Below are 27600 nucleotides of genomic sequence, written 5' to 3'. Positions count from 1 at the left end.
CTGCTACTGAATGATCATTGGGTCAAAAATGAAATCAAAATGAAAATTTTAAAATTCTTTGAACTGAAGGATAATAGTGACACAACATATCAAATCCTCTGGGATACAGCAAAAGCAATGTTAAGAGAAAAGTTCATAGCATTAAATGCCTACATCAAAAGTCTGAAGGAGCACAAATAGGCAATTTTAGGTCACACCTCACAGAACTGAAGAAAAAGGAACAATCCAAACCCAAACTCAGCAGAAGAAAAGAAACAACGAATATCAGAGCAGTGCTAAATAAAATTGAACCAAAAAAAAAAAGATAAATGAAACAAAAAACTAGTTCTTTGAAAAGATAATAAAATTGACAGACTGTTAGTGAGATTAACCAAGAAAACAAGAGAGAAGATCCAAATAAGCTCAATTAGAAATGAAAGATATTACAACTGATAACACAGAAATACAAAAGATCATTCAAGGCTACTATGAATGCACAAAAACTAGAAAACCTAGAGGAGATGGACAAATTCCTGGAAATATATAATTCTCCTACATTAATCCAGGAAGAAATAGAAACTCTGAACAGACCAATGGCAAACAGCGAGACTGAAATTATAATTAAAAAATTGCCAACAAAAAAAAAAAATCCAGGACCAGATGAATTCACAGCTGAATTCTATCAGACATTCAAAGAAGAATTGGTACCAATTGATCCTATTGACACTATCCCAAAAGATAGAGAAAGAGGGAATCCTCCCTGAATCATTCTATGAAGCCAATATCAACCTAATTCCAAAACCAGGAAATAGCATAACAAAAAAAGAAAACTACAGACAAATATCCCTGATGAACACAGATGCAAAAATTCTTAATAAAATACTAGCTAACTGAATCCAACAGTATATCAAAAAGACAATCCACCATGATCAAGTGGATTTCATACCAGGGATGCAGAAATGGTTTAATATCCACAAGTCAATAAATGTGATATAGCACATAAACGTTATTAAAAGCAAAAATCACATGATCATGTCAATAGACATAGAAAAAGCATTTGACAAAATCCAGCATTCTTTTATGATTAAAACTCTCAGCAAAGTCAGTACAGGACGGACATACCTTAAGGTAATAAAAGCTATCTATGACAAATCCACAGCCAACATTATACCGAACAGGGAAAAGTTGAGAGCATTCCCCCTGAGAACTGGAACACAAGACAAGGCTGACCACTTTTACCACTTCAATTCAACATAGTACTGGAAGTCCTAGCCAGAGCAGAGAAGAGAAAGAAATAAAGGGCATCAAAATTGGTAAAGAGGAAGTCAAATTGTTGCTGTTTGCTGATGATATGACAGTATACAAAGAAAACCCTTAAGACTCATCCAAAAAGCTCCTCGAACTGTTAAATTAATTCAGCAAAGTTTCAGGTTATAAAATTAATGTACACAAAGCAGTGGCTCTGCTATATTCCAACAGTGACCAAGCAGATAATTAAATCAAGAATTCGACTGCCTTTATGATAGCTGCAAAAAAGTAAAATACCTAGGAATATACCTAACCAAGAAGGTAAAAGACCTCTACAAGGAAAACCACAAAACACTGATGAAAAAAATTATACTCAACACAAACAAATGGAAACACATTCATGCTCATGGATTGGTGGAATCAATATTGTGAAAATGACCATCCTGCCAAAAGTGATCTACAAATTCAATACAATTCTCATCAAAATACCACCATCATTCTTCACAGAACTAGGAAAAACAATCCTAAAATTCATATGGAACCAAAAAAAGAGCCCGCATAACCAAAGCAAGACTAAGCAAAGAGAACAAATATGGAGGCATCACATTACCCGACTTCAACCTATACTGTAAGGCCATAATCCCCAAAACAACATGGTACTGGCATAAAAATAGGCACATAGACCAATGAAACAGAATAGAGAACCCAGAAATAAAGCCAAATACTTACAGCCAACTGATCTTCGACAAATCAAACAAAAACATAAAGTGGGGAAAGGACACCCTTTTCAACAAAGGGTGCTGGGATAATTGGCAAGCCACGTGTAGAAAAATGAAACTGGATCCTCATCTCTCACCTTATACAAAACTCAAGATGGATCAAAGACTTAAGTCTAAGACCTGAAACCATAAAAATTCTAGAATATAACACTGGAAAAGCCCTTCTAGACATTGGCTCAGACAAAGACTTAATGACCAAGAACCCGAAAGCAAATGCAACAAAAACAAAGATAAATAGAGGGGACTTAAACTAAAGTGCTTCTGCATAGCAAAAGAAACAATCAGCAGAGTAAACAGACAACCCAGAGAGTGGAAGAAAATTTTTGCAATCTATACATCTGACAAAGGACTAATATCCGGAATCTACAACAAACTCAAATCAGCAAGAGTAAAACAAATAATCCCATCAAAATGTGGGCTAAGGACATGAGTAGACAATTCTCAGAAGAAGATATACAAATGGCCAACAAACATATGAAAAATGTTCAACATCACTAATGATCAGGGAAATAAAAATCAAAACCACAATGCGATACCACTTTACTTCTGCAAGAATGGCCATAACCAAAAATTCAAAAAATAATAGATGTTGGCAGGGATGTGGCAAAAAGGGAACACTTCTACACTGCTGGTGGGAATATAAACTAGTACAACCACTATTGTAAACAGCGTGGAAAGTCCTTAAAGAACAAAAGTAGAACTACCATTTGATCTAGCAATCCCACTACCAGGTATCTACCCAGAAAAAAAGAAGTCATTCTATGAGAAAGATACTTGCACATGCATGGTTATAGCAGCATAATTTGCAATTGCAAAAATATGGAACCTGCCCATATGCCCATCAAGCAATGAGCGGATAAAGAAATTGTGGTTTATACATACTGTGAATACTACTGAGCCATAACAAGGAACAAAATAATAGCATTCACAGCAACCCGGATGGAATTGGAGACCATTATTCTAAGTGAAGTAACTCAGTAATGGGAAACCAACCATTGTATGTTCTTACACATAAGTGGGAGCTCAGCTAGGAGGATGCAAAGGCGTAAGAATGATATAATGGGAGATTCCCAGAAAGGGTGGCAGCAGGGTTGAGGGATAAAAGACTACACATTGGGTACAGTGTACACTGCTCAGGTGATGGGTGCACCAAAATCTCAGAAATCACCACTAAAAAACTTATTCATGTAAACAAACACCACCTGTTCCCCAAAAAACTATTGAAATAAAACATAATAAATAAATAAATAAATAAAACAAAGTCCTTTGATGAATTCTCCACAATTCATCTAAACAATTAGATTGTACTGGGCTAAGCTGCCAAATAATATTACTATCACCTTTGTACTCATTTACGTATCATGCTAAAATAAGTAAAACTAAGGGGTTTACAACATGGCTATTCTATTAAAATGTGAAGCTCCTATACAATATCATCTTTGGAATTAATTTATTAGCTATATAGTATATACTTTTTTATTTTTCTTTGAACTATTTTATCAAATAAAGGTACATTCGGAAACACTCTTGGTTGTCTATCTGAACAAAATTATTCTTCTTCATTACCAACAGAATTCAGATGTTATTCAAGCGTCCAACTCTGTGGAAGACTCTATTTTCCAAAGATGAGCACACTGATCTATGTCTCATCCCACATGCTCTTCTTACTATGTGATGCTTACTTACCTCCTTGCACCTTGTAACTGCCTCGTCCAGTAGAGTATACTGGAAGTGATGTTATTGGGACTTTGGAAGTTAAGCCATAAAAGGCAATATAGGCTGGGCACGGTGGCTCATGCCTGTAATCCCAGCACTTTGGGAGGCCAGGGCAGGTGGATCACCTGAGGTCAGGAGTTCAAGACCAGCCTGGCCAACATGGTGAAACCCCGTCTCAACTAAAAATACAAAAATTAGCCAGGTGCAGTGGCACACACTTATAGTCCCAGCTACTCAGGAGGCTGAGGCAGGAGAATTTTTTGAACCCAGGTAGAGGTTGTGGTGAGCGGAGATCGCACCACTGCACTCCAGCCTGGGTGACAGAGCGAGATTCTGCGTCGAAAAATAAAAAAATAAAAATCATAAAATAAAAGGCAATACAGCTTACACCTGGTTGTGTTCTCCTTGGATTGCCTGCCCTTTGAACATGGGCATGTTTTGTAAGGAAGTCAAACATCCACACAGAAAATACACATAGGTGTATATGTTTCAGTTACAGCTGTAGCTATTATAGTCATCCCAGCCAAGAACAAGCACCAACAGTAAATGTCTTAGTGAGAAACCTTCAGAAAAATGTCATCCTAAGCCTTTAAGTCTTCCAGAAGAGGCTCAGACATCCGGGAGCAGAGAGAAGCCATTTCTGCAGTAGCTTGTCAGAATTATTGACCCACAGATTCCACGGGCATAATAAGTAGCTGTTTTATGCCTAAGCTTTGAGGTAATTTGTTATGCAGCCATAGTAACTGAAACAACCCTGCGCACGAAGTCCATGATATTCAGGGGACACTTACTCTATATATTGCCCCAGAGGTGGATTCTGATTAAATTAAGCATGTAGTTCTCAATCAATCAGAAGCGATTGTGCTCCCAGGTGACATGTGAAAATGTCCAGAGACATTTTTGATCATCACAGTGAGGGAGGCGGTGCTTCTGGTGTTTAGTGGGTGGTTGCCAGAGATGCTGCTAAACATCCTACCATGCACAGGACAGCCTACCCCCTCCACCAACAAAGAATTATCTAGGCCAAAATGGCAATAGTGCCAAAGCTAAGAATCCTTGAACGAGGCCAATAGCTTTGAGCACATAGACTTTACCAACTAGTAGCTACTTGTGAAGGAAATTCTTAACAGGTAAGTGGGAGAAAAAAAGATGCTAAGGCGTGTTAAAACATACCTGCAGCTGACAGACTAAATGGACTCCCTGTGGCTAAAATAAAGCATACCAGAAACAGAACCAAGCAGCCATAGCAGGGAGAGGGGCTGGTCAAATACCCTTATATTACTAATTGCAATAAGGTCTTCTTTCCTGTAAGTAAGCAGAAACTAGTACTTAAAAAACATTATCAAAACAGCTTGAACCAGGAGTTTCCCAATTGACCCTGGTGACCTGCCAGATGCCAGCTGACCTGACTTCCCCTACCCCCGACTTGTGGTCCCATCAGCAACTCTGATTGGACAGGAGACTGACCTTGCAAACATTCTTTCCTGATAAACAGCTACAGGCCTCAAGCTAGCGTCCGCCAGCATACAGAGACTGTGCACAAAATGCCTTTATACCCTCTAGTTCACCTTTTGTTGTAAAAAGCCAAATTCCGCTTCATTTTAATGTTAAAACTCCACCCTAAAATGAACATAGAATATATGTGACATATAGGTTTGCCTACTGCATATGTGCTTGACTTCCCTTATAAGTACCCGTAATTTTCCCCAAACCTGCTAAAAATGCATGGAAGGCAGACCTGAAAGACAGGAATGCCAGCTTTCCCTCTCCCTCTCCCTCTTCTGAGCATGTGGTTTCAGTTTTCCTGGAGGTGACTTTCCCTGATTTGCAGATTGCCTCTCTGAAGATAAAAGTGTTCTCCTTTTCCTTCCTCCACAGATCTCATGGTCACTTGTTAACAGCAGTTACAAAAAAAATAAATAAATAAATAAAAAGATTAAATTCTAGCATCTAATTCTAAAAATTATGATGAAGTTGGAAACCAAACACACACAAAAACACCAACTACCGTCCCTTGACTGATATGGGAATTCAGGTGGAAATTTCCATTCGTAATCATCCCGCCTTTTTTGTTACCTTAAAAAACCGTCCTTATAAAATTTCTGTCATGAAAATGACTAACTTAAAAAAAACCTGCACATCAGAAATTATGGCTACATTTTATGGAATATAACTTTAGTATTGTAGGTTCTTCCTTAGTAAGCATTCAAATTGATTGCCTTGGGTAACAGTCAAGCTGGAATCCTAGATTTCCGGAAGTATAAATCTTTGACTTCTTTTGTGTGTCAAAGGAGCTTTGAATTTTCCTTTTCCCCTTTGCCATAAAGAGAAATTAACTGATGACTCTGATAATTTTATTTTAAAATAACATACCAGAGTGATTGTCATGTCAGATCATTGTTGCAATGTCATTAAATTTTTTAAAAGATTTTCCCTGATACAGTATTATCTTTTCTTCCTTTGTGATATATAGCTTGGCTTTTAAGAATGCTATAAACATATTTCTATAGTCAGATTTATGTTTCCTTTTGCTGGTAGAATCTGTGCAGCATGGCATAGATTTCTCGAATTGTACAAACACAACATGAAAATTACTGCTTTGTTGCATATACATTTGGGCTCCCAATCACCTATGTTTTATAGATAGTGTTTTCTATCTACCCCCAAACTGTTTACAGACAGAAACATCTCTGAATGTGTGTGCTTCCTGGTTCTATCTTCTTTCTGAAGGGTGGTGACTTTTTAACGAGGCTCCTCAGCTCTGTGTAGTCATCTTTAGTGCTGTTCAAAAATATTCTTCTCTTTCCATGCAGGCAATAAATGATTAGACTGCCATTCCACTTCTTCCTCTTAAAATTAGGAACAGCCATATGATTTTTCTTGGGAGCTGCATGAGCCAGTGTGTACTTTGCCACATTCTCCTTTCCATCTGTCCTATGGCTAGCAATGCTCCATGTAGCTGTCTGGATCCTGGAATGAGGACAACCAGCATGCTGACCAGAGGCCCTGGCTGATGCATGATAGATTTATGTCATGAACCCGAAGCAAACCTTCTTGTTCTAAACTATTAAGAGTTTGAGATTGTTCATTATCACAGCATAGCCTAGTGGTATGTGTCATAGACTTTGATGAATAGGACATTACAGTCAAAACTCCTTTGTGAGGTTGACCCTCAAATAATAACACATAATGTCTGTACTTTGCATATCAGATACATAATTCTATGTTAAGCAATATGTAGCAAAAGCTAAGTTGCAAGAAATAAGAAAAATATACTCTCCCAGCTACTCTTCATTATCTGAATTAAGGCATACTATCATCAGAGTACTGCATACTCATGCTACATTGGCTGGGCCTGTATGGATTTTCCTGAATTGTATTTTTGTATCATGCTATCAGCCCTCACTGATGATTAGTTCAAGATGTATCCCTAAGAAACTCATTACTGCACTTGTCAGAGGAACGTGAACACACAGCAGAGTTGTCTCTTTATGTGAGTCTTTGAACTTTGGTATGAAGAACGCCTGTGATAAAAGGGGTTTGTGGTTAACAGTGCCTATTGTTTCAACAAAATATAATAGAATGCTTCAAAGATGACTTTCTTCTTTACTTATATTTTCATATGCTTATTTAGCTATCCTGCTGTTGGGTTAGATTAGGACTATACCAATGGATACCTATCCCTTTAAGCCTGAGAGATCTGCCTAAGTTGGGGTCCACTTTCTGGAGGATAGTTTTTCAATAATCTCTTCATGACTATAACTTTATGAGACTTAACAGAATGTCATCCTTTGAGTAATATGTATGGACAGCATATCTTATTATCTTAATGCTACTATCACCATAAACATTTCCTGAAATTCCTCCTTGATGGTTACTTTTAGAAGCATAGAAGTCATGTAACAAAAATGATCCATAACTGGCTATGGTGGGATTATAGCACTTAAAGGCAAATCACACTTGTGTGCTACAGCCAGAACCTAGTGTCGAGTTGTTCAAGAGATCCAAAATAGCTCAACATTGATTGATTGCTTAAAATGTGTCAGATACCGTGTTGGACCACAAAGAAAGCTAAGACCTGCATTTGCTATGGAGGAATTCAGAGTCTACAGATGGAGACAAAGCTGTGCCTACATCATTTCAACTCAATGACAAACGTGTACTGGTAGAAGGACATGCACAGGGAGGAAAGCTTGGGTCAGAAAACTTTCTTGATGACAAAAAGCCTGAGTTGAGCCTTACAGGACAAGTAGGAACTACCCAGTTGAAAAAAAACGAAGGAGTGTTTGCATGAGGCACATACAAGAGCATGAAGGCGTGGGGTAGTTTTGTGATTGTGAAGAAGCACAAGCACTATCAGATTTCCTGGAGTAGAGGGTGCTAACAGGGAGGCTGGATCTGAGGACAGCATTGTCTCTGAGTGCCTTGCATACTATACCATACCAAGGAGCTGAGATTTCATCATACGGTTGATAAGATGCCACTGAGAGGTTGTAAGCAGTAGAGTAACCTAGTCAAACTCATGTTTTTGAAAATTTATCCTGTCAATTATGTGGAAGATAGATGGAACTGAAGTAAAAGGTGCAAAAGAAATCCAGAGATGAGAGAAACCATAGGGACTTGGAGATCTAGAAGATGCAGACACCGAGGTGGACCCAGAGGAATCATCTTAAAGCATGAGGCAAGAGTAAAAAGGATTTGTTTACCAGAATGAGGTTGTTCTGAATTTGTCTGCCTTTATGTTAAGGAGTTATTCTACAGTCTTAGAATTCTGTGCTCAGAAACAGAGCAGCATAGACTCTTGGATTTATTTGAATCCAGAAGGGACATGAGAACATACCTCACACATCTCCTTTACTTTCAAAATCAACAGAGAACAGAAAATACACAAAAAGGCTTTCATTGTCAACATCATTATCAAAATAAGAGCTAATGTTTATACAATGTCTATTATGTGTTAGGCACAGTTCTAAGTTTTACACGTATCATCTAATTTAATCCTCATAACAATTCTATGAGGCAGGCACTATTACTGCCCCCATTTTACAGATGAGAAAAGTGAGGAATATAAAGATTACATAATTTTCCTAAGACTGCACAGCTAGTAGGTGCTGCAGTTGAATTCCAGGCAGTATTACTTTAGAGCTCATGCTCTCAACTCCGCACTGAACTGCAACTGCTCTCAATTCAATACTTACTGCATCTAAGCCACACAGGTAATAGCTGACCCAGAACGAATACTCAAGTTCCTAATCCAGTGCACATGATAACATGATAGAATGAAAACTTTCCCATGAAAGGATAAAAAAAATTTATATAAACTTAAGAGTATTCAGCTGTGATAAAACGGTTAGGTCAGTAGGAAAAAGCCACACTCCTGCAGGTAGGAGGTGAGATGTCACCTAAAGAACAAGATTCTCAATGAAGTCAGGCACTCGGGGAAGAAAACTTCTCTCCGGGAAAGTAGACCCAGTGGGAGGGCTCCAGCGGGCAGCAGAGTTGAGATGTGCCTTTGTTGGTCCTGACTGTGAAGGTGACTGTTTAACATACCTTCAGATGATGGATGTGAAGATGCTATCCACCATGTTGGAAGCTAGCCAAAGGCTAGGAAGTAAAGAACCAAACAAGGCTAAGAGATTAGAGTCAATTCTTGTGAGACAGGGCTCAGGCAGTCAACCCCTTGGAGCAAATAAAGATAAAAGCAAGTTAAGGAATGGGGGGCTCAATATATTTAGAAAAAGGCAGGGGTACTTGGGCAGCCCCACTAATTCACTTATTCTGCCATTCACTCACTCATTTATTCAACAAATATTTGAATTCATATAACAGGCACTATGCTAGGCAAAGGAGAATAAATCAGTAAATTAAAAATGTAGTAAAATAGGGCCAGGTGTGGTGGCTCATGCCTGTAATCCCAGTACTTTGGGAGGCTGAGGCAAGTGGATCACTTGAGATCAGGAGTTTGAGACTAGCCTGGCTGATATGGCGAAACCCTATGTCTATTAATAATACAAAAATTAGCTGGGCATGGTGGCAGGCACCTGTAATCCCAGCTACTTGGGAGGCTGAGGCACGAGAATCGCTTGAACCTGGGAGGTAGAGATTGCAGTGAGCCAAGGTCACCCCATCGCACTCCAGCTGGGGTGACAGAGCGAGGCTCTGTCTCAAAAAAAAAAAAAAAGTGAAAATAGAGTTGAAACCAAATGAAGGGGGGACACTATAAATAAGTAAACAAATTGATATTATGAAATATTATGTGACTAAAGAAAGAAATAGCATGCAAAGAGAGAACACAACAGTGAGAGTGGGAGCTGTGGGTAGACCAGAAGGCTTTCTGAGGAAGCAACATCATAGCCAGGACAAGAACTTGGTTTTCAATCATGTGACATGCAGTAAACAAAAACTGCAACCTGAGATCACAGCATGCCTATTTGTGCAGAGTTTAATACATTCCAGGGAACTGGTAAGGAATAATATACCCAGAGATTCTCCCTGTAATACTGACACAGTAGAGATTTTGAATTCTGCTTTAGTAAGAGAGCTAAATTCCTTGCCTATGCTGACTGCACTTTCCTCCCATTTCTATTTTTCTCCACTCTTAATAATGCAGAATCTGTTACAAGGCAAAGGGCAATATGTCCACAGATACTTAGATATCCATGACAAAGGTTGGGATTTTTTTTTAAACTAAACTGGAACTGAATTAAATTATTTTTTTGTCCCAGATAGGAGTGCAGTGGCATGATCATAGCTCACTACGACCTCAAATTCCTGGACTCAAGCAATCTTCCCAGCTCAGCCTCCTAAGTAGCTAGGACTAGAGGCATGTGCAACCATGTCCGGTTGATTATAATTTTTTTTTTTTTTTTGCAATGAGGTCTTGCTATGTTGCCCCTTCTGGTCACGAGCTCCTGAATTCCTGGTCCCCTTAGATCCTCCCATAGTGCTGGGATTACAGGCATGAGCCACTGCACGTGGACCTCAATTAAATTTTAATTTCATATATATTCCTAGATTTTCCTACAACTATAAAGTTACACTCATGATTTCAGAGCAAGGATTTTAAAATGATCTTCCCTAAAACATGTTACCAAAAGAGAAGCTTTGCCTTTTTGATAGCACTATATAACAATTTTAAAAAGGTGGCTTGGGAACTTTCTATGGAATTGCTGAGTAATCCTGTGTTTGGTGCCCTTTTTTTGTAAAGGAACCAGCCAATTTACTACCCACCTTTATCATTTTTGCCATTCCAGTGCCTATAGAAAGGAATGTGATAAATTCCCAGCACCTTTATATGTGAAAGGTACACATGCAGGGAAGAGAAGCTGCAAATGTACCTCAGAGCCTTTCCTTGCTTGAAATTTATTCACAGTCTGTTTGACAGCAGACATGGTCCTGCCTATAGATGGTGTCCTTGGGAATTAGCAACTCACTGCCTCTTAGTTTGCTCATTGTACTTTTTGCAAGTTAGTCCCCCATACTGAAAAACCTACCGACTGTTTGGTGCTTCATTACCCAGCAGGAACATGGAAACTAAGCCAGATTATTTTCAGTGTTTGGAGGACTACTGGGCTGCAAAGTGGTCCCACCTTGCCCCTTACTCACATTGCTGTTTCCAGGGCAGCTCTGTGAATGTGGTTCTAAATGACAGCCTCACGCAGGGTTTTGGTTGTACCCCACAGTTACCTCAGTTCACCGTGTACAGGATGATAAATGTAAAATGCTTGACACATGGGAGATGCTCAGTACATGAAAGTTTTCTCCCCTGTCACGGGTCCTAGGGAGGGTGGTTGATGGTGGAAATACCCTGGCTATATCTACTTTAATCAGCTCTGCAGTGAGCTGTGGAAATCATGACTGGTCTGAGGTTATATAAGCCCATCTCTGTCTCAGGGGAAGCTTAAAATAGTCTCAGACTCAGGCATTCCTGCTTTGGAACTAGCCCTGGGCTGAATTGTTTCATCTCAAGAAGCAGGAATTAGAGCCTGTAATCTTCCAGGGCACTGGGCGTGTTTTCTAGCAGCACCCAGGAGGAGAGTAGCAGATTTGCTTTGGAGGCAGAAGCGTTATAGAGCTCAGAAACAGTTCCCTGGTATGGTGTATGTAGGGAGAGACAAACAGTTTGCAAGTGCTGGGGGTACCAAGCATACGGACAGCAGTGTGAGGAGATGAGAAAGGGAGACGAGGGACTGGTGTTGAAGTTCAAATTAGCCACGTAAGTTGGGTAGTTTCTTTTCTGGTGTTTGTTCTGTCTTCTAAACACTAGAATGGAAACTATGATTTCCCTCAGTCTATTTCACAGGTTATTAGGATAATTTATGAGATATTGTCCAGCACCCTCATCAACCCAGTTTGCAGGTACAAGTCTGCTCCGGCTACTTGAGTCGGGAATATACACACGTCTCTCTGAGCGCACACTGGCCAGAGCCGCATTCCCAAGTCTGTTTCATGTGGGGTGCAGCCCCAGTCCACAGCAGTTTTCAGACTGTTTTCCTGCAGGTTCTATGTTCATTCAGCAAGTATTTCATACGTGCCTACTATCTGCCAGGCAGAGCTAAATGCTGAAGAGACACAAAGAAAACATGAGCCTGCCTTAGTGCAAATTGTAAGTTAGTAAGAGAAAGACAATACATGAGTAAACATATAAAGATATAATTTCAATTTATCATGAAGGAAAAGTAGATTCAATCATAGAAAATCATGGGAGGAGAGACCTTTGATAAAGACGGTCAGGAAAGGTTCCTCTGAAGAAAGTGGCATTTAAGCTGAGACTTGAAGGATGAGCGAGTAGAAGGACGCCATGCCCCGAGTGAGACTGCGCAGTGCAGCATCTCTGTGAGGGGTCCCCACGCTGTCTGGTGCTAACCTATCCCACTCCCGGCAACTCTCTTCTCAAAGCCGCCTTTGACTTTTTCTATTCTGTGCCATGACCCGGGGGATTTCTCCTACCCAGCTTGCTCAACAGGTCGGAGTCCCTGATCTTCCCTGTGCCTCTTCCTGGCTTCTATCTCCTACCAGAAATTATCTCCATAAAGCAACCTCCATTTACGCGTACGATAGGCTGATACCAATGCATGTTGTATAACTTTGACTCTTAAAGCACATTTTCCTTCAGTATGAATGTGACTTGATGCCAAACATAGCTGGAGACCTCCAAGCAAACTTTTCAGAGAAATAAAATGTTGAAATGATTCTCAAATTAATTTGATCTAACACAGCAACCTATTTTTGCTTCCATTCTTCTACCTTGCAGCAGTTTAATTTATATGCCAATAAGCTGCCATGTGCAATAACTTTGTGACTGTAAATGCTGTTCATTTATCAGTTACTTCACGCTGTCTATACCTCTCCAAGATTTAAATGCATGCATGTGCCTAAATGTTAAGCCCAGCCAGTTCCACAGGTCAGCAAAGAAAACAGAGAAAAATCTAACAGCATTTATGGTTTAATTCCAAGCGAACAAACACTTGATCATTTAGTGAAGATTGATCATCTCAAATAAATTACTGTGTAAAGGTTATATATGTCACATTCTAGAGTAACTTAATAAGGGTCCTGTCTGACTTCTTTCAGGATTTAGAAGTGATAGCAATTCAATCTGTGCTTTCATTTCTTCCTTTTTGTTCTGCCAAAAGGCACGTAGTAATCCCCAGGAATTTTGAAAAAATCCAAGTAGACCGTCAATTTAAAAGCAAGTATCATTCTAAAATCCAATGAAGGCCTCACACAGGCACCTTTTTCCATATTTATCTGCAGTACATGAATTCTTTTGTATAAAATCCAGGTTTTTAAAGAAGTCTCCAGCTCCCAACAAACCAAATTCAATTAAAGTAATGACTGCCAGAAACTACAAGCTCAAATTACTACCAGGTTAAAGGATAGGAATTCAAACACACATCTGTCGTATCTTCCTCTGTTACCATCAAAGTTCACATGTAAGTGAAAAGTTCACATGTAAGTGAAAAGTTCATATGTAAGTGAAAAGAAAATTCACAAATGTCTGATCTTACGAGACAAATGGATTTAGTCTCTTTTAAAAATCTGGTTAATCATATGCTAAAATCACATCAAGTGAAGGCAATCAACCTGTTGGGCTCAAAGGCTTCTCATTGAACTTGGAATAAAATCCAGCTCCCTATGGTCACCAAGGCCCTAGGTAAGTTAGCCCGTCTGCCTCTCTGAGCTCACCTCCTACTGTTCTTCTCCCTTCCCACAGTGACGCAGGCACACTGGGCCCCTTTTCCATCCTCCATGTCAAAGCCTATCCTGCCTCGAGGCTTTCCACTTGCTATGCATGTTGCCTGGAGTGCTGTTGTTGTGGGTGTGTGCACAAGAGTGGTCCCTTGTCTTCATTTATTTCTTTTGTCACATGTCACTTCTGCAGAGTGGCCTTCTAATGCCTCAACCCAACACCCCTCTCCCATTTTGTATTCTTTATAGCATCTATCATTATCTGAAATGTTTATTAGTTAATGTCATTTTCTGTCTTCTCTGCTAGAATATCAGCTTCATGAGAGCAAGAGTCTTGTCTCTTGTTAACTGCTATATCCTCCAAAAGCAAACAGGTGATTAGTTCAAAGGAAATACACAAAGGCAAGGAACAAACATGTGATCTTCACAGAGCAGGAAGAAGCCTCCTAGGCTCTTGGCTGAGATTCCACATACCACCTTGGTACCAAGGCATCCCAGCACCCGCTCTTCTGAATGGTGGGTTAACCACTCATCAGGAGACTTTGCAAAAGGGTTTGGAGCCCTGGGTATGGAGCTTGTGAGCGCACTGTATTTCAGGAAAGGTAAATTGTCCTCTCACTGAATCATAATGAAATTCTTCCAGACTCTGGAAATTGCGATGTTATTGGTTTTTTGTGAATTATAATTCTGTTACAGTTTTACTGAAATCAGAAAACTTTTAGAAAAATATAAAGAAAATAAATGAAATATATCGACTTTTATCAGCTTGCTGCTATGACAATCTTCTGGCTAAAATATAAATAATTTCACAGAACTGAGATGTTTCTGCCCTTCCCACTTAACCAGATTCCTGAGAATTCAATTCTGTATTCTTCCAAGTCTGAAATATCTTAGTCACACCTGAAGGCATCCTTAGGCCACGAGAAGAGGCCCTGCAGGCTTGTAGGGTTCCGAAAGTCCTCAAGCAAATGAGTCATTGCGCTCCAGTCTCAATGCAGGGGATATATTGCCTTTTGACACAAATCCGACAGCTGTGCCATCCAGCACCTACTGATGGCATTCCAACATCTTCTAGGCAAAGGCTGTTCTAATGCGAGCAACCCTATTCACCTCCCACACAGCCCTACATTCAAAAATGGTTTGCTGCCCAGGTGACAGACAGTGGGAGGATTATTAGTCATATGTAATATCTACTTCTCTTGCCAAGCTACAACCCAAAATCTAGACACAGAAAGCCCAGGTTTACAAATATTAGACAGCTGGGCACAAAACTAGCTCCGATATTGTGCAAACATCTATGGCTTTACCTTCAACACATTACAGAAGTGATTCTCAAACTTGGGTGCGCATTAGAATCATCTGGAGAGCCTTGAGAATGCTGGTTCCCGGGCCCTGCCTCAGACCAATCACAGTAAGTATCCCTTGATGTAGGACTCAAATGTCAGTAATTTGTAAAGGTCTTAGATGCTTCCAATGTGTGACCAAATTTGAGAACCACTACATTACAAAGAGGTCTGTATTTAGAGCTAAGTGTGCCTTCTGGGCTTCCCTTAAAATTCTCAACATAATGAATGACTGCATTTTTACACAACACGCACACACATAGGCAAACTGCATCTATTCCGAAAGAAGTCGGGATAGTGGTTACTCTGGCAGACTGTAACTGAAAGGGAACTGAGTAAGGCATGTGTTTGGAAGCCTGGTAATACTGTAGTTTGGTTACACAAGTGTGTTCATTTGTGGAAAATTAAGCTGCACACTTCTCATATGTGCACTTTTCTGCGTACAATATACATTAAGCAAAGGTCAAAACAAAACCTTCCTCTTTCTCTTTCTGCTCCTCATACTTTCTTTCCTTTCACCAAATTAACATTTTAAAATTTATTTCCAAAATGCTAAACTGGTCCAAGATCAAGTGAAGCCACATTTAAACATTAAAACCCAGCAACGTTAAATTATTTTTACAAGGTTTAGTGATACTGATAATATTAAAATGGATGTGTCTTGATGACATATTTAAGAGGAAATAAAAAGGTCTCCATAATACTGTTCAACAAAAAAGTAGAAGGGTACTCTTCTTTGTTCCCTTTTTACAGTACACATAAAAATTTAATTCTACATTTGTCATCTCCCTTTAGATCTTAAACTCCATGAAGGCAGAGATTATTTATCCCTTCTTCACCATTTTATTCACCTTGCTAAGCACACAGCATATAGTATTTGCTTAATAGCTCATGAATGGATAAATGAAAAAAAATCCAACAAACTAAATACCGAGAATAGAGACTCTCTCCTGAAGAGTCCTATCTTTTGAATATTTTACACATACTTGTTCCAATCTGTCTACACGCTAGTACTAGACTAAAATATCTCTTTAATTACATCACCTCCTGCTTTACAAAAATGGTTAATGCTTCCCTATTGTCAAATTCAACTTCTAAGTTGTTCCACTGACTGTTAATAGGCGCTTTATGTTCTTATTTCTCATAACTCTCCCTCACATCCACCTCATGGGAAATACATTGGGAAGTGCTGTATTAAGCAAAGTTAAGCCTTTAAATACCAGTATACATGTTAAGTCCACAGGAGGGCATGTATCACTTCTCAAGTTTACTTAACCCTAGGACACTTTATTCAAAGAGCATCTCCTGGGATTATTGTTTCATGGAGTCCAATTTGGGAAACATTAGCTTCCGTTATACAATCAAAATTCCTCAGCCTGCTATTCAAGGACCTCAAGATCTGACTCCCCTTCTGGCTTTCTCACTCAGTTCTTACACACCAAATATGCTTGGAGCTCCTATCTCAGCCTCTTAATGCACACCATTTTACTTCACTGGGATACTTTTCCTCACCTCCTTGGCCCGTCACCTGTCCAAGCTCAGATCCCAGCTCTTGCAAGCCCACTTCTTTGACCTCTGCAGTCCACAGGATTCTCTCTTTCTCCTAAGTTCCCACTGCTACTGTCTGTACTATCCATTTGGCAACTGAGATACTTCCTCGTTGATCAAACAACTGTTCCTCACTGCTAGTAATGTTACCCAACTGCAACAAGGTTTGTGTATAATTTCCCGTAGACTGTAAGCTCATGATGCACAGGACTCTGCTCTTTTCTGTTTCTCCCTCAAATGGCCTGGCTCGGTGTTTTTGGCACAGTGATTACTGAATACGAGTTAACAGTGGTTCTAAGGTGTACCCACATGCTGCTCTTGTAGGATAATCCTTATCTAATGCAAAATGAGAATTAGACAGCTATTTCAGCAGTTAAAGTTCCTTCTTTCCTCTCAAATGCCTCCTAATTCTTCCAAGCATCCTTTACCAGCTAATTGGAAAAGCACCAAGGATTTCTACTAACTTTAAAACTCCCCAGAGTCTTTTACTTTTCACCTTGTTAAACACCTGCTTATCTACAGAAAAAGTAAAATTAAGTCTGCTTCATTTGTTTAGAATGAGATCCAAAAGACAGGCATGTGGAGTTAAATGCCTGGCGTAAAGCTGTAAGGTGAGCCATGGTCATATCTGCACAGTGTCTCTCCATTTCTCATGTTAAAAGACAGCAGCATTCCAAAGGATCCCGTAGTATAGTCGACGTGCAGAAGTAACTGGGGCATATATGGACATGTCACAGCCAAGGCCTCTCATGTCTACCTTCACTAATCTGAAATCACAGCAGGATAGAAAGGTCAGAGCCCAGTAATCAAAAGGATGTTCACATGGTTGGGGGAGCGGGGACAAGTGTAATAGAGGACATTAATAAAGTAATAAAGTACTGAATTAGCCTTAAATCCTTGCTTCTTAACCAGGAGTAATTTTTGCCCCCTAACCCCAGGACACATTTGGCAATATCTGAAGATATTTTTGGTTGTCATAACTGGAGCTGGGGTGCTGTCTGCATTTAGGGGGTTGAGAACAGGGATGTTAGGAGACATCCCTGTTCTCAGGCATGAACAGCCCCCTACAACAAACAGTTGTTCAGCCCAGAATGTGCTGAGGTTGAAAAATCCTGCTCTAAAGGAAATGATATAAGCTAAGGTGGAGGCAAAATTTCTTATTTTACAGCTGAAGGAAAGAAGAAAAGAGGTTATTGTTTAATTTAAATGGGTACTAGTAATTTTATGATGCAGGTTGCTAATAATTTTAGGGAATCTCCACTAATCTCTGTAATAGATGGAGATAAAACCCATAGAAACACTTAAGAGGAAATGCGCCGACAACATACCACTCATCATCATTTGGTCATTTCTCTTTACTGTTGAATGACATGGTAGCATACAACATTAAAAAAAAGTCAGGCCTGGGCACAGTGGCTCACACCTGTAATCCCAGCACTTTGGGAGGCTGAAGTGGGTGGATCACGAGGTCAGGAGATCAAGATTTTCCTGGCTAACATGGTGAAACCCTGTCTCTACTAAAAATACAAAAAATTGGCCGGGCGTGATGGCAGGCACCTGTAGTCCCAGCTACTCAGGAGGCTGAGGCAGGAGAATGGTGTGAACCTGGGAGGCGGAGCTTGCAGTGAGCCAAGATCGTGCCACTCCAGCCTGATGGACATGGCAAGACTCCGTCTCAAAAAAAAAAAAAAAAAAAAGCAGAAAAGAATGATAGCTTAAAATAATTTCAAAAATAGCAAAAGTATGGAGTTATCCACGAATTTTTACCTGTTAAGTCAATAAATAAACTTCGGTAAACTGAATTTGTTCCTCATGTACTTATATATCTAAAAAAAAAAAAAAAGTTAGTGGATTATACCTATCTCTAAATGGTGAGATAACTTCCTCCTCTCTGCTTATCTATGCTTTCTAAATTTTCTACGGTGAATCAATCCCCACCATTGACCTGCAGCTTCAGAAAACTACTGCTTTCCATTACTACATATTAAATTTGTCTTTCCCAGGGTTTCATATAAATGGAATATGGGACGTGTGCTCTGGAGAGGCAACATGCTCCTCTGTTGGTGAACATTTGGGTTGTTTCCAGTTTGAGGCTATGATGAATAAATGACAAATAAAACTTACTCTTAAAAAATAAAATGTATTTTAAAATAGCAAACTAGTTTGAAAATATTTAGAGTTTAAACTTAAAAGAGTCCATGTATTTAAACCCCCTAATACAGCAATGCACTTTATAGGCACAATTAGAAATTCAGATAGTCACATCCAAAGAACTTTGCTGTGGAGTGGTTTAAAATCGCCTGAAACATTAAAAAAAAATAAAGTCCAGGAATAGTTAAACAAAAAGTCTGAGCACACTTAAATAAATTTTGGTACTATGGTACATCCAGATAGTTGACTACTACACGATTGTTATAAGCTGTAATGTTGCTGAATACTTACGCCTACAGGTAAATGATAAAGGAATAATATTATCTACAGTAGCAATCCAATTTTTATACATAGAAAAAAGCAGTACCAAACAAAATACATGATTATACTAATGACAGTTATCTCTGAGTGATGGAATATGGGAGGGCTTTACTTTTTTCTTCATATAGCTTTACACTGAATAAACTTCTTAATAAAACATAATAAAATTTTATGATAAAAACATGAAAAATTAATATCCATTAAGATACTAGTGAACAAGTGTTTAACTCATAATATAGATTGGTAAATTCTCTTTGCATATTGATTTATGCTATCCAAAACAATATTATTTAGCAATACTATTACACATACCAAAGATTCTTTCCCCCCAACCTCAGGTATCATGTTAGATTTTATTCTTGGCTTTCCTCTCCCTCTCTTTTTTCCTCAAATTAGTACCAGGACTATTGAGAAATGCAGAAGTCAACCCTCCTCTCTAGTATGCAACACTTTTGTGACTTTATTATGGATGAAATTGTTTCAGCTCTAATATACTGTAGAAATCAGATGATACTTGCTTTTGTGTTACATTTTTGAAATGACTTAAATCTTACAGGGAGTCATTTATTATTGATTTAAACACCCTAAGCAGCCATAAGGAAAAGCTTTAGCGCAATAAGCAAATAACTACAAAATCACCTCAACTACTTTTTGTAAATAAAGCAGAAAGGTCATCTGTTTTGTTAAGTCTAATTAAACAATCTGGATCTGACTAAGCTGTCACAAAATATACACTTTCACAGCCTTGAGATTCAAATGATATTTTACTATAGACACTTAATTTACTAATCTATATGGTTAACTTTGTTTGCTTAATTTCTCAACACAGATACTAAAAATTTGTAACAGATGAGTCACTAAGAAACTTGACTGCCTGAATCAGATAGTGTAAGAACATAATTTAGACATATTTTATTTCTGCTCTGTTTATCCATCTAAAAAGTCTAGGGAGTTTCCTGAGTAATGGGGTACCTGTCTCCAGATGCTCTCCTAAAAGGCTAAAAAATGAAACATTTTTTTTTAGAAAGCCCTCTACCCAAACTATCCTTCAGAATGGATTCAGTCAGTGAACGCTTTAAAAAAGAACTCTTTCAGAAAACATCCTATCTTCTTCTAAGAGTGACATTTACAAAGAGCAGCATGGGGCTTATCTGAGTGGTGCAGAGATAAACTTGGCTGGAATAGAATGACACTGGGTTATGCGAAAGGGAGAGGAATTGCGTGAGTAATGCTGAAGTCAGACCAGAGAGGACAAAGGCAGAACACAGGGCATTTGCTGCAATTGTGTTGAAGCAGGCCCCATGCTAGGGAACCTCTCAAAGTCTAGCTCTTCAGTGCTGCCTGAACAAAGGCACTCATGACTCAACTATAAACACACCCCCAAAACTCTCTTCTCGTGAAAGGCCTATATGTCAGTAACTTTTAAAAAACCTACTAGAAAATGTGGTTTTCTCTTAAATTGCAATTCTGTATGTGAGGGTTTTTGCAGTCATTGTTGGTTTTACTCTTTGTAAATGCTAATTTTTATTCAAACTTGATAAATCATTTTCAAATATTGAAAAGGGAAATTTAGGCAGTCTCTTATCCAAAAATTGGATATTGAAATATATTATATATTAATATATTAATATTTGTTTATATATCAATTATATATTAATATTAAAATATTAAAATACATATAATTAGTATCAAAATAGAAAAAGATCATTTTTTATTGATTGGATAGCTTGAATTGTTTATCACTTGTTGTAAGACCAGTGAAATGAGTTCACTATGTGTTTTCATTTTTATCCCTTCATGCAAATTGTCTTGGTTTATTCATTGCTCTAGTCTTTTTTTGTGCATGGACCACGTTCACATTAAATGTTCCATAAGCCTTCTCCACATGCAGATATAACAGTCAAAAATTCTGTAATGTTTTGATCCAGAGCATAAAGAGCTTAGAGTACAAACATGAAAACATTTTTCTTTTCAAGGTAGTGTTGAAGACTAAGGGATGAAAATGAATGCAGTAGGAAGAACAGCTCTTTCACTAATTGGAACATACAGTGGACAATCAGTGCATCTTAACATGGAAAAGTCCCAAGCAGCTTGTGACAAAAAAAAAGAAAAAGAAAAAAAAAGTGCCACTGAAGAAGCTAGAGATGGTGGGGGAAAGTCTGTAAGCAAGGGATTGTTTCTCATGGAAGAAATTCACCAGCCTGTTTTCTATTTGAATAGTGTTTCTGACTCAAGGGTTGGCAGAGGCAGGGCCTGGTGGGAGGTGTTTGGGTTATGCAGGTGGATCCTTAATGAATTGCTTGATCCTATTCTTGCAGGAGTGAGTTCTCACTCTTAGTTCCCCAAGAGCTGGTTGTTGAAAAGAATCTGGCATCTTCTTGCTCTCTCTTTCTTCCTCTCTCACCATGTGATCTACACAAGCTGGCTCCCCTTCGCCTTCCACCATGAGTGGAAGCAGCCTGAAACCTCCACCAGAAACAGATGATGGCACCAAGCTCCTTGTACAGCCTGCAGAACCATGAGCCAAATACACCTCTTTTCTTTATAAATTACCCAGCCTCAGGTATTCCTTTATGGCAACACAAACAGACCAAGACAAGGATGTTCTTCATAGCAATAACTATAATGACAAATATAGGAAACCACATGTCTATCAATTGAGAATGTGACAAATGCATTTTTGACCTATCCATATAATGATAAGCTAAATAGCTAAGTAAAATGTTCTTCAGTGATATAAAGAACAGATATACATTTAAGTAAACAAGATAATTGCTAAATTGTTAACAATTATAAGAAATAGAACTATGGGTATTTTTTACCATGCTCATAATTAATTTCAATTCCTAATTTTTCTAAAATAAGTATTTTTATAATACAAAACCCATCAAGAATTACATGTTTAAAATTAGAGAATAAATTTTAGGACTTTTAGGGTGATAAATGATAATTTATCTCAATAATTTTAAGAAATGTATATTTGAAGATAGTTATTAGTCAACATTCAACTAAGCTAAGCTGCAGAAACAAATGAACTCTGAAATCCTAGTGACTTAAACAAAGGCTTATACTTCATTCTTTTTTAAGTCCATTGTGGCTCAGGCAGTCCTTCTCTATCTTGCAGCCATTCATGTAGAAAATATGTCCTCCAAAATTACCATAGCAGAGGAGGAGAAATATAAAGGAGACACACTAGGGTGTAATTGCTTTTTACAAATCATTGTTCATATTTCATTGCCAGACCTAGACATATGGCTCTTTAACTGCTGGGAAGGTTGTGAGGCTGGGAAATGTAAAGAAACAGAGTAATACTGGGTGAGCAATAATTGACTCTTTTACAAAGATCTATAGAAAAGCTTTGATGTGATAATTTTTGATACACACACACATACACGCCATATATGGCCATATTAAAAATCTACCTTGAACATCACAAAGCTCAATTCTTCATGCTTTTATTTGGTTTCCAAGGTTTCTAAAATGAATGTATTTATTTTATTTTCCTTATTAATGAATATTAGGACCCCCCCAACACAAATTTTCACTATAAACATCCTTAAACATATCTACTTACAAACTAGTATGAGTCTTTCTCTAAAGTATATGTTTAGAAGTAGTACTGTTGGGTTGCGTATTATTTTGTGTATACACACTGTATATAAAAATGTGTATCTAGAACTGGAAATACCATTTGACCCAGCCATCCCATTACTGGGTATATACCCAAAGGACTATAAATCATGCTGCTATAAAGACACATGCACACATATGTTTATTGCGGCATTATTCACAATAGCAAAGACTTGGAAGCAACCCAAATGTCCAACAATGATAGACTGGATTAAGAAAATGTGGCACATATACACCACGGAATACTATGCAGCCATAAAAAAGGATGAGTTCATGTCCTTTGTAGGGACATGGATGAAATTGGAAATCATCATTCTCAGTAACCTATCGCAAGAACAAAAAACCAAACACCGCATATTCTCACTCATAGGTGGGAATTGAACAATGAGATCACATGGACACAGGAAGGGGAATATCACACTCTGGGGACTGTGGTGGGGTGGGGGGAGGGGGGAGGGATAGCATTGGGAGATATACCTCATACTAGATGACGAGTTAGTGGGTGCAGCGCACCAGCATGGCACATGTATACATATGTAACTAACCTGCACAATGTGCACATGTACCCTAAAACTTAAAGTATAATTAAAAAAAAGACAAATCCAAAAAAAAAGTGTATGTATCTTTAATTTGTATAAATATTGATAATTTGCATTCCAAAGTGTCTCTGCATACAAACACAAGGAAGAGTTCCAGTTTAGGTTTATGTTTCCAAATATCTCCACAACCAATGGATGTGAAATGGAATCGCAGTTTAACTTTGCATTTCCTTAACTGCTCTTGAGGTTGTACAGTTCTTTATGTGAATATTGCCCAGCTGGGTTTCCTCTTCTGTAAATTTTCTTCTGATATATTTTAGCTAGTATATATGCATTTCATCATACAAAAAGTTTTGAATGTTGAAAATATAAATCTGCTTTTTTTCTTGCTGTCTGTGTACTAGTCAGTAAATCTTTCAAGGTCACAAAGATAGTCTTCTATATTTTCTAACAGTTCAACTTTTTAATTTTCACATTTATATTTCTAATTTGTATGACTTCTCTGTGTGTATGGTATGAGGTAAGAATCTGATTTTAGTTTTTCCATAGAGAAGTCCTTGTCTCAGTAGCACTCATTCCCCCACTGTATTTATATCACTTTGTGCATATATCAATATCCCATACAGATTTGCAGTGGGAACACATGAAGGAGGCGACTGAAGGGAAGGCAGCAGTCTAAGGAAATCTCCTCTGGTAGACCTGGAGGACATTGAGAAGCTAAATACCTGAAGAAGGGAGAGTACAGCTAGGGGTAGAGAGTTGAGGAGACCAAAAATGAATAATTATTTGAAGAGGCATTCTAGTGTGAAACCTTTGTATTCTTTGAAAACTTAGTGCCTCATTCACTGTTCTACAGTATCTATTAACATGATTTACAAATGGTTTCTCAGAATACATGTTTTCTTAACACTTTTCAAATTCACATCAGCCATTCATACAATATGAAACCTCATCACTGCTTCGTGGATTGAAGAAAACTTAGAAGTATGGGATGGAAATAAAAATAGAGGTAAAAACTGAATATATATAAGAAATACCACTTGCCAAGAGTCCTAGCCCAGTCCCAATAAAATTTATACAGTTTTAAATGTGAAGTTTCCTTAAACTTCTTTAGCAACTCTTGCTGTTTGAGATGTCTCTAATTTATAGATAGGCAGAAATTTCAGTAGGTGTTTATCTTGTTCCACTTTGGAAAAATCATTTGGAGGAAAATGTTTTATTTCATTATTTTCCCTTTTAACTAGGATTTCAGGCCAACAAGTTTTTGTCTACTTTTCTCCCCTGACTTCAAAGAAATTCTAGGCATTTTGTTATACATTAAAATTAGCAATTTGTATAAATATTATCTTCCTTTTACAAAAAGCCCATGGCAAGGGTAATGCATCCTAGAGTAAAATCATAGTTTTTTTCCCTTTTTTTCATGAACTTTAGCACACTATACTTAGTGTGCCTACACTATAGCTTAAAATAACTTTCAAAGGTTTTTGAGCCACTGAAATTAGTGCACCCTAAAAAAGAATAGAGCTGTTATCAGAAAAAAACAATATATGAAAATCTATCTTAGGTGAATCCCTCTTTAGTAGTCATCTAATAGCCTCATAGATTAAATAAGCACTTTCTTTCATGTCTGAATCACATCTATTACATAATTACTTTCCTTCCAAGCAAGTGAAAGAAAGAACAAGAAGGAAGAGCTATATAAAGATTATAATTAATAACTGATAGGCAGTTTTCCACAAAACGAAGCCTGTATTGTGAGTTACATAATCAGTACCTCAGCAACCTCAGTTTTCTTCTCAAAAGTAAGGGCTAGGAAGAATCAGAGATGAGACTTCTTTATCTTTTTTTTGTTTCACAAAGATAACATATATGCATTGTGAAAATGTAGAAATACAAATAAGCAACTTGAAGAAAACAAAAGCCACATGTATAGCAGAGATAGAGTTTTCACAATACACGTAATTCTCTTCTCCCTTATGAAAAGAATCCCAGTTTTTCAGTTGGGCACAGGGCTCCCCTATGTAAATGACTATTTCCTGGCCTCCCTTGAAGCTAAGCATGACCTTGTGATTAAATTCTGACAAATGAGGTTAAATGGCAGAGAAGTGTAATATTCCTTCCCCATGTCCCCTTTCCTGCTGCCTCTTCAATGGATAAAGATGCAATGGTTGGACACGGTAGAGGGAATGGTAGTCACCCAGGATCCCTAGCACTTTGAAATACCATTAGCTTTGGACTATCCACTTCCATACTTCTCTTATGGGAGAAAGAAAGAAAAAAATTTAGCCTTTTAAAGCTTCTCTTCCTATGTTCCTTGGTACTCGCAGCCAATCCTAATGCTAAGGTATTCTAATACTTCCATTTAATAATTATTTTTATTACCTAGCTTTTGAGCTTTTAAATGCTCACAATTATGTGCTATCTCTTTAATTTTTATTTTTAGGTTAATTGGTTAGTTTATTTAATTTACACTGAAAACTCATGGAGTATACAGCTTCCTTAATCTAAACGCAATTTTATTCATCTGAACTGCAGTACATAGGTGTCAGAAGAAAAATGCTTTTCCTTTTTCTTGTCAAAACTTTCAATTTCTGGGGAAGCAAAATCAAACAATATACTGAAAGCCCAGGCCTTAACTTACCCTATATGAATAAAATGGGTCTGCATGCATAAAGTCATTTACTCTCCCAGGATACTTTCATTATTTTCAACTTACAGATAAGGAAGTGGAGGTCCAAAGAGGTGAAATGAGTAACCCAAGGTCACAAAGCTCGTAAGAGGCAGTTACAGTCTGGCTCCACTATCCACATCCTTAACCTCTATACTGTGACTGTGAACACTAGAATACAAAGGCACATTCCTAGCTGGGACAGCCACTATGCCACTGCAACAGATGGCTGGCATCGTGGGAATGAGGGCCTGGTATTTACGGCCAAGGAGGAAAATGGCCTTTTTATGTGAATTTTCCTAATTTTTAAATGATATTGCCAACAATTTACAGAAAAATAAATTAGTCCTCGTATAGAAGTGCAAATTTCTCCAAAGCACAGATTCCCGGTATAAGCTATAAAACAGGAGGGTTTTTTTGTCTTGTAGGCTGCTTATATTGAAAATATGGCTTTGGATATTAGAATGTCTCAGAGACTTGTGGTGGCTCTGATTAAATCAAGATCACCTGATGAGCATGTTGAATTTGAATGTTATGACTGGTGTGGCAAGCAGAATAACAGCACCCACAGATATCCACCTCTTAATCCCAGGAACCTGTGAATCTGTTATATCGTGATTCCCATTTAAAAGGGGGATAAAAGAAAGGGTTGCTAACATACCAAGAGGGACTAGCCTAACATGAAAGTGCAGACATTCACTTTATTTGCTATATGAATTCTCCCCCTTTTCCAAGGTATTAACAGAAAATTCCCATTTATCTAGAAATAAAACAACTGGAAAGCTCAAAGAATAGAAAATTCCCATTTATCTATTTTTTTTATTTCACTTTCCTGGTAATTCATATTTACTGTATTTTACCAAAAAAAAATGGTCTATCATAGTTAGAACAAACAAAGCAAACAGGTAGAGAGCAACCATTCCTTTACCACATATAGTTTGAAAAGCTACGGCAAATGGTTTGCAGAGAGTGGTTCAAGGACCATGGACCAACAGCATCAGCATCCTTCCGGAATTTTGTAAGAATGCAAATTCTCCAACTTTGTCTTAGACTGACTGGATCAGAAACTTGAGGGTGAGGTCCAAAAAACCACGTTTTAGCAATCCTGGGTGATGCTTACACCTGCTGAGGATATGCACTTCATCGACTAACGTATTCGGGGTTGGATAAGGGTTAGTTGATAAAGGGGCATATCCTTAAGCATTCTGCATTCATAAAATCATGTAGTCTCCCATGATGACGTTATTACTTTCATTTTACAGATGAAGAAATAGAGGTCTAAAGAGGCTAACTAACCCAACGACACAGCTAGTGAGGGCCAGTTATAATCTGGCTCCACAGTCTATGCTCCTAACTGCTATACTGTAAAGCTCAAGATTGTTCAGATAAGTAAGCATGACTTAAAGTAGATACTGGGTACAGACAAAAGAATGAAGAAGGTCAAAGTTGAAAGTAGGGTTTGAATTAGGATGTCATCTGAATATGTC

The 27600-nt window shown here is 38.1% G+C and overlaps 1 protein-coding gene across 3 annotated transcripts in view, besides 1 other annotated feature; it reads right to left on the bottom strand.

The window, feature by feature from the left end:
* Positions 1-27600, bottom strand: part of GPR158 (G protein-coupled receptor 158) — a 427229-nt gene that overhangs the window by 88433 nt on the left and 311196 nt on the right. The window lies entirely within an intron of this gene.
* Positions 5003-5297: an enhancer, noted in NCBI's record as "tiled region #12818; K562 Activating DNase matched - State 8:EnhW". NCBI's record gives its function as "activates a minimal TATA promoter and a strong SV40 promoter by Sharpr-MPRA in K562 cells {active_cell/tissue: K562}" and the evidence as "EXISTENCE:reporter gene assay evidence [ECO:0000049][PMID:27701403]".

Source organism: Homo sapiens, chromosome 10 (genome assembly GCF_000001405.40).
Source record: "Homo sapiens chromosome 10, GRCh38.p14 Primary Assembly".
Classification (NCBI taxonomy): Eukaryota; Metazoa; Chordata; class Mammalia; order Primates; family Hominidae; genus Homo; species Homo sapiens.
This window is presented reverse-complemented; position numbering and strand designations above follow the sequence as displayed.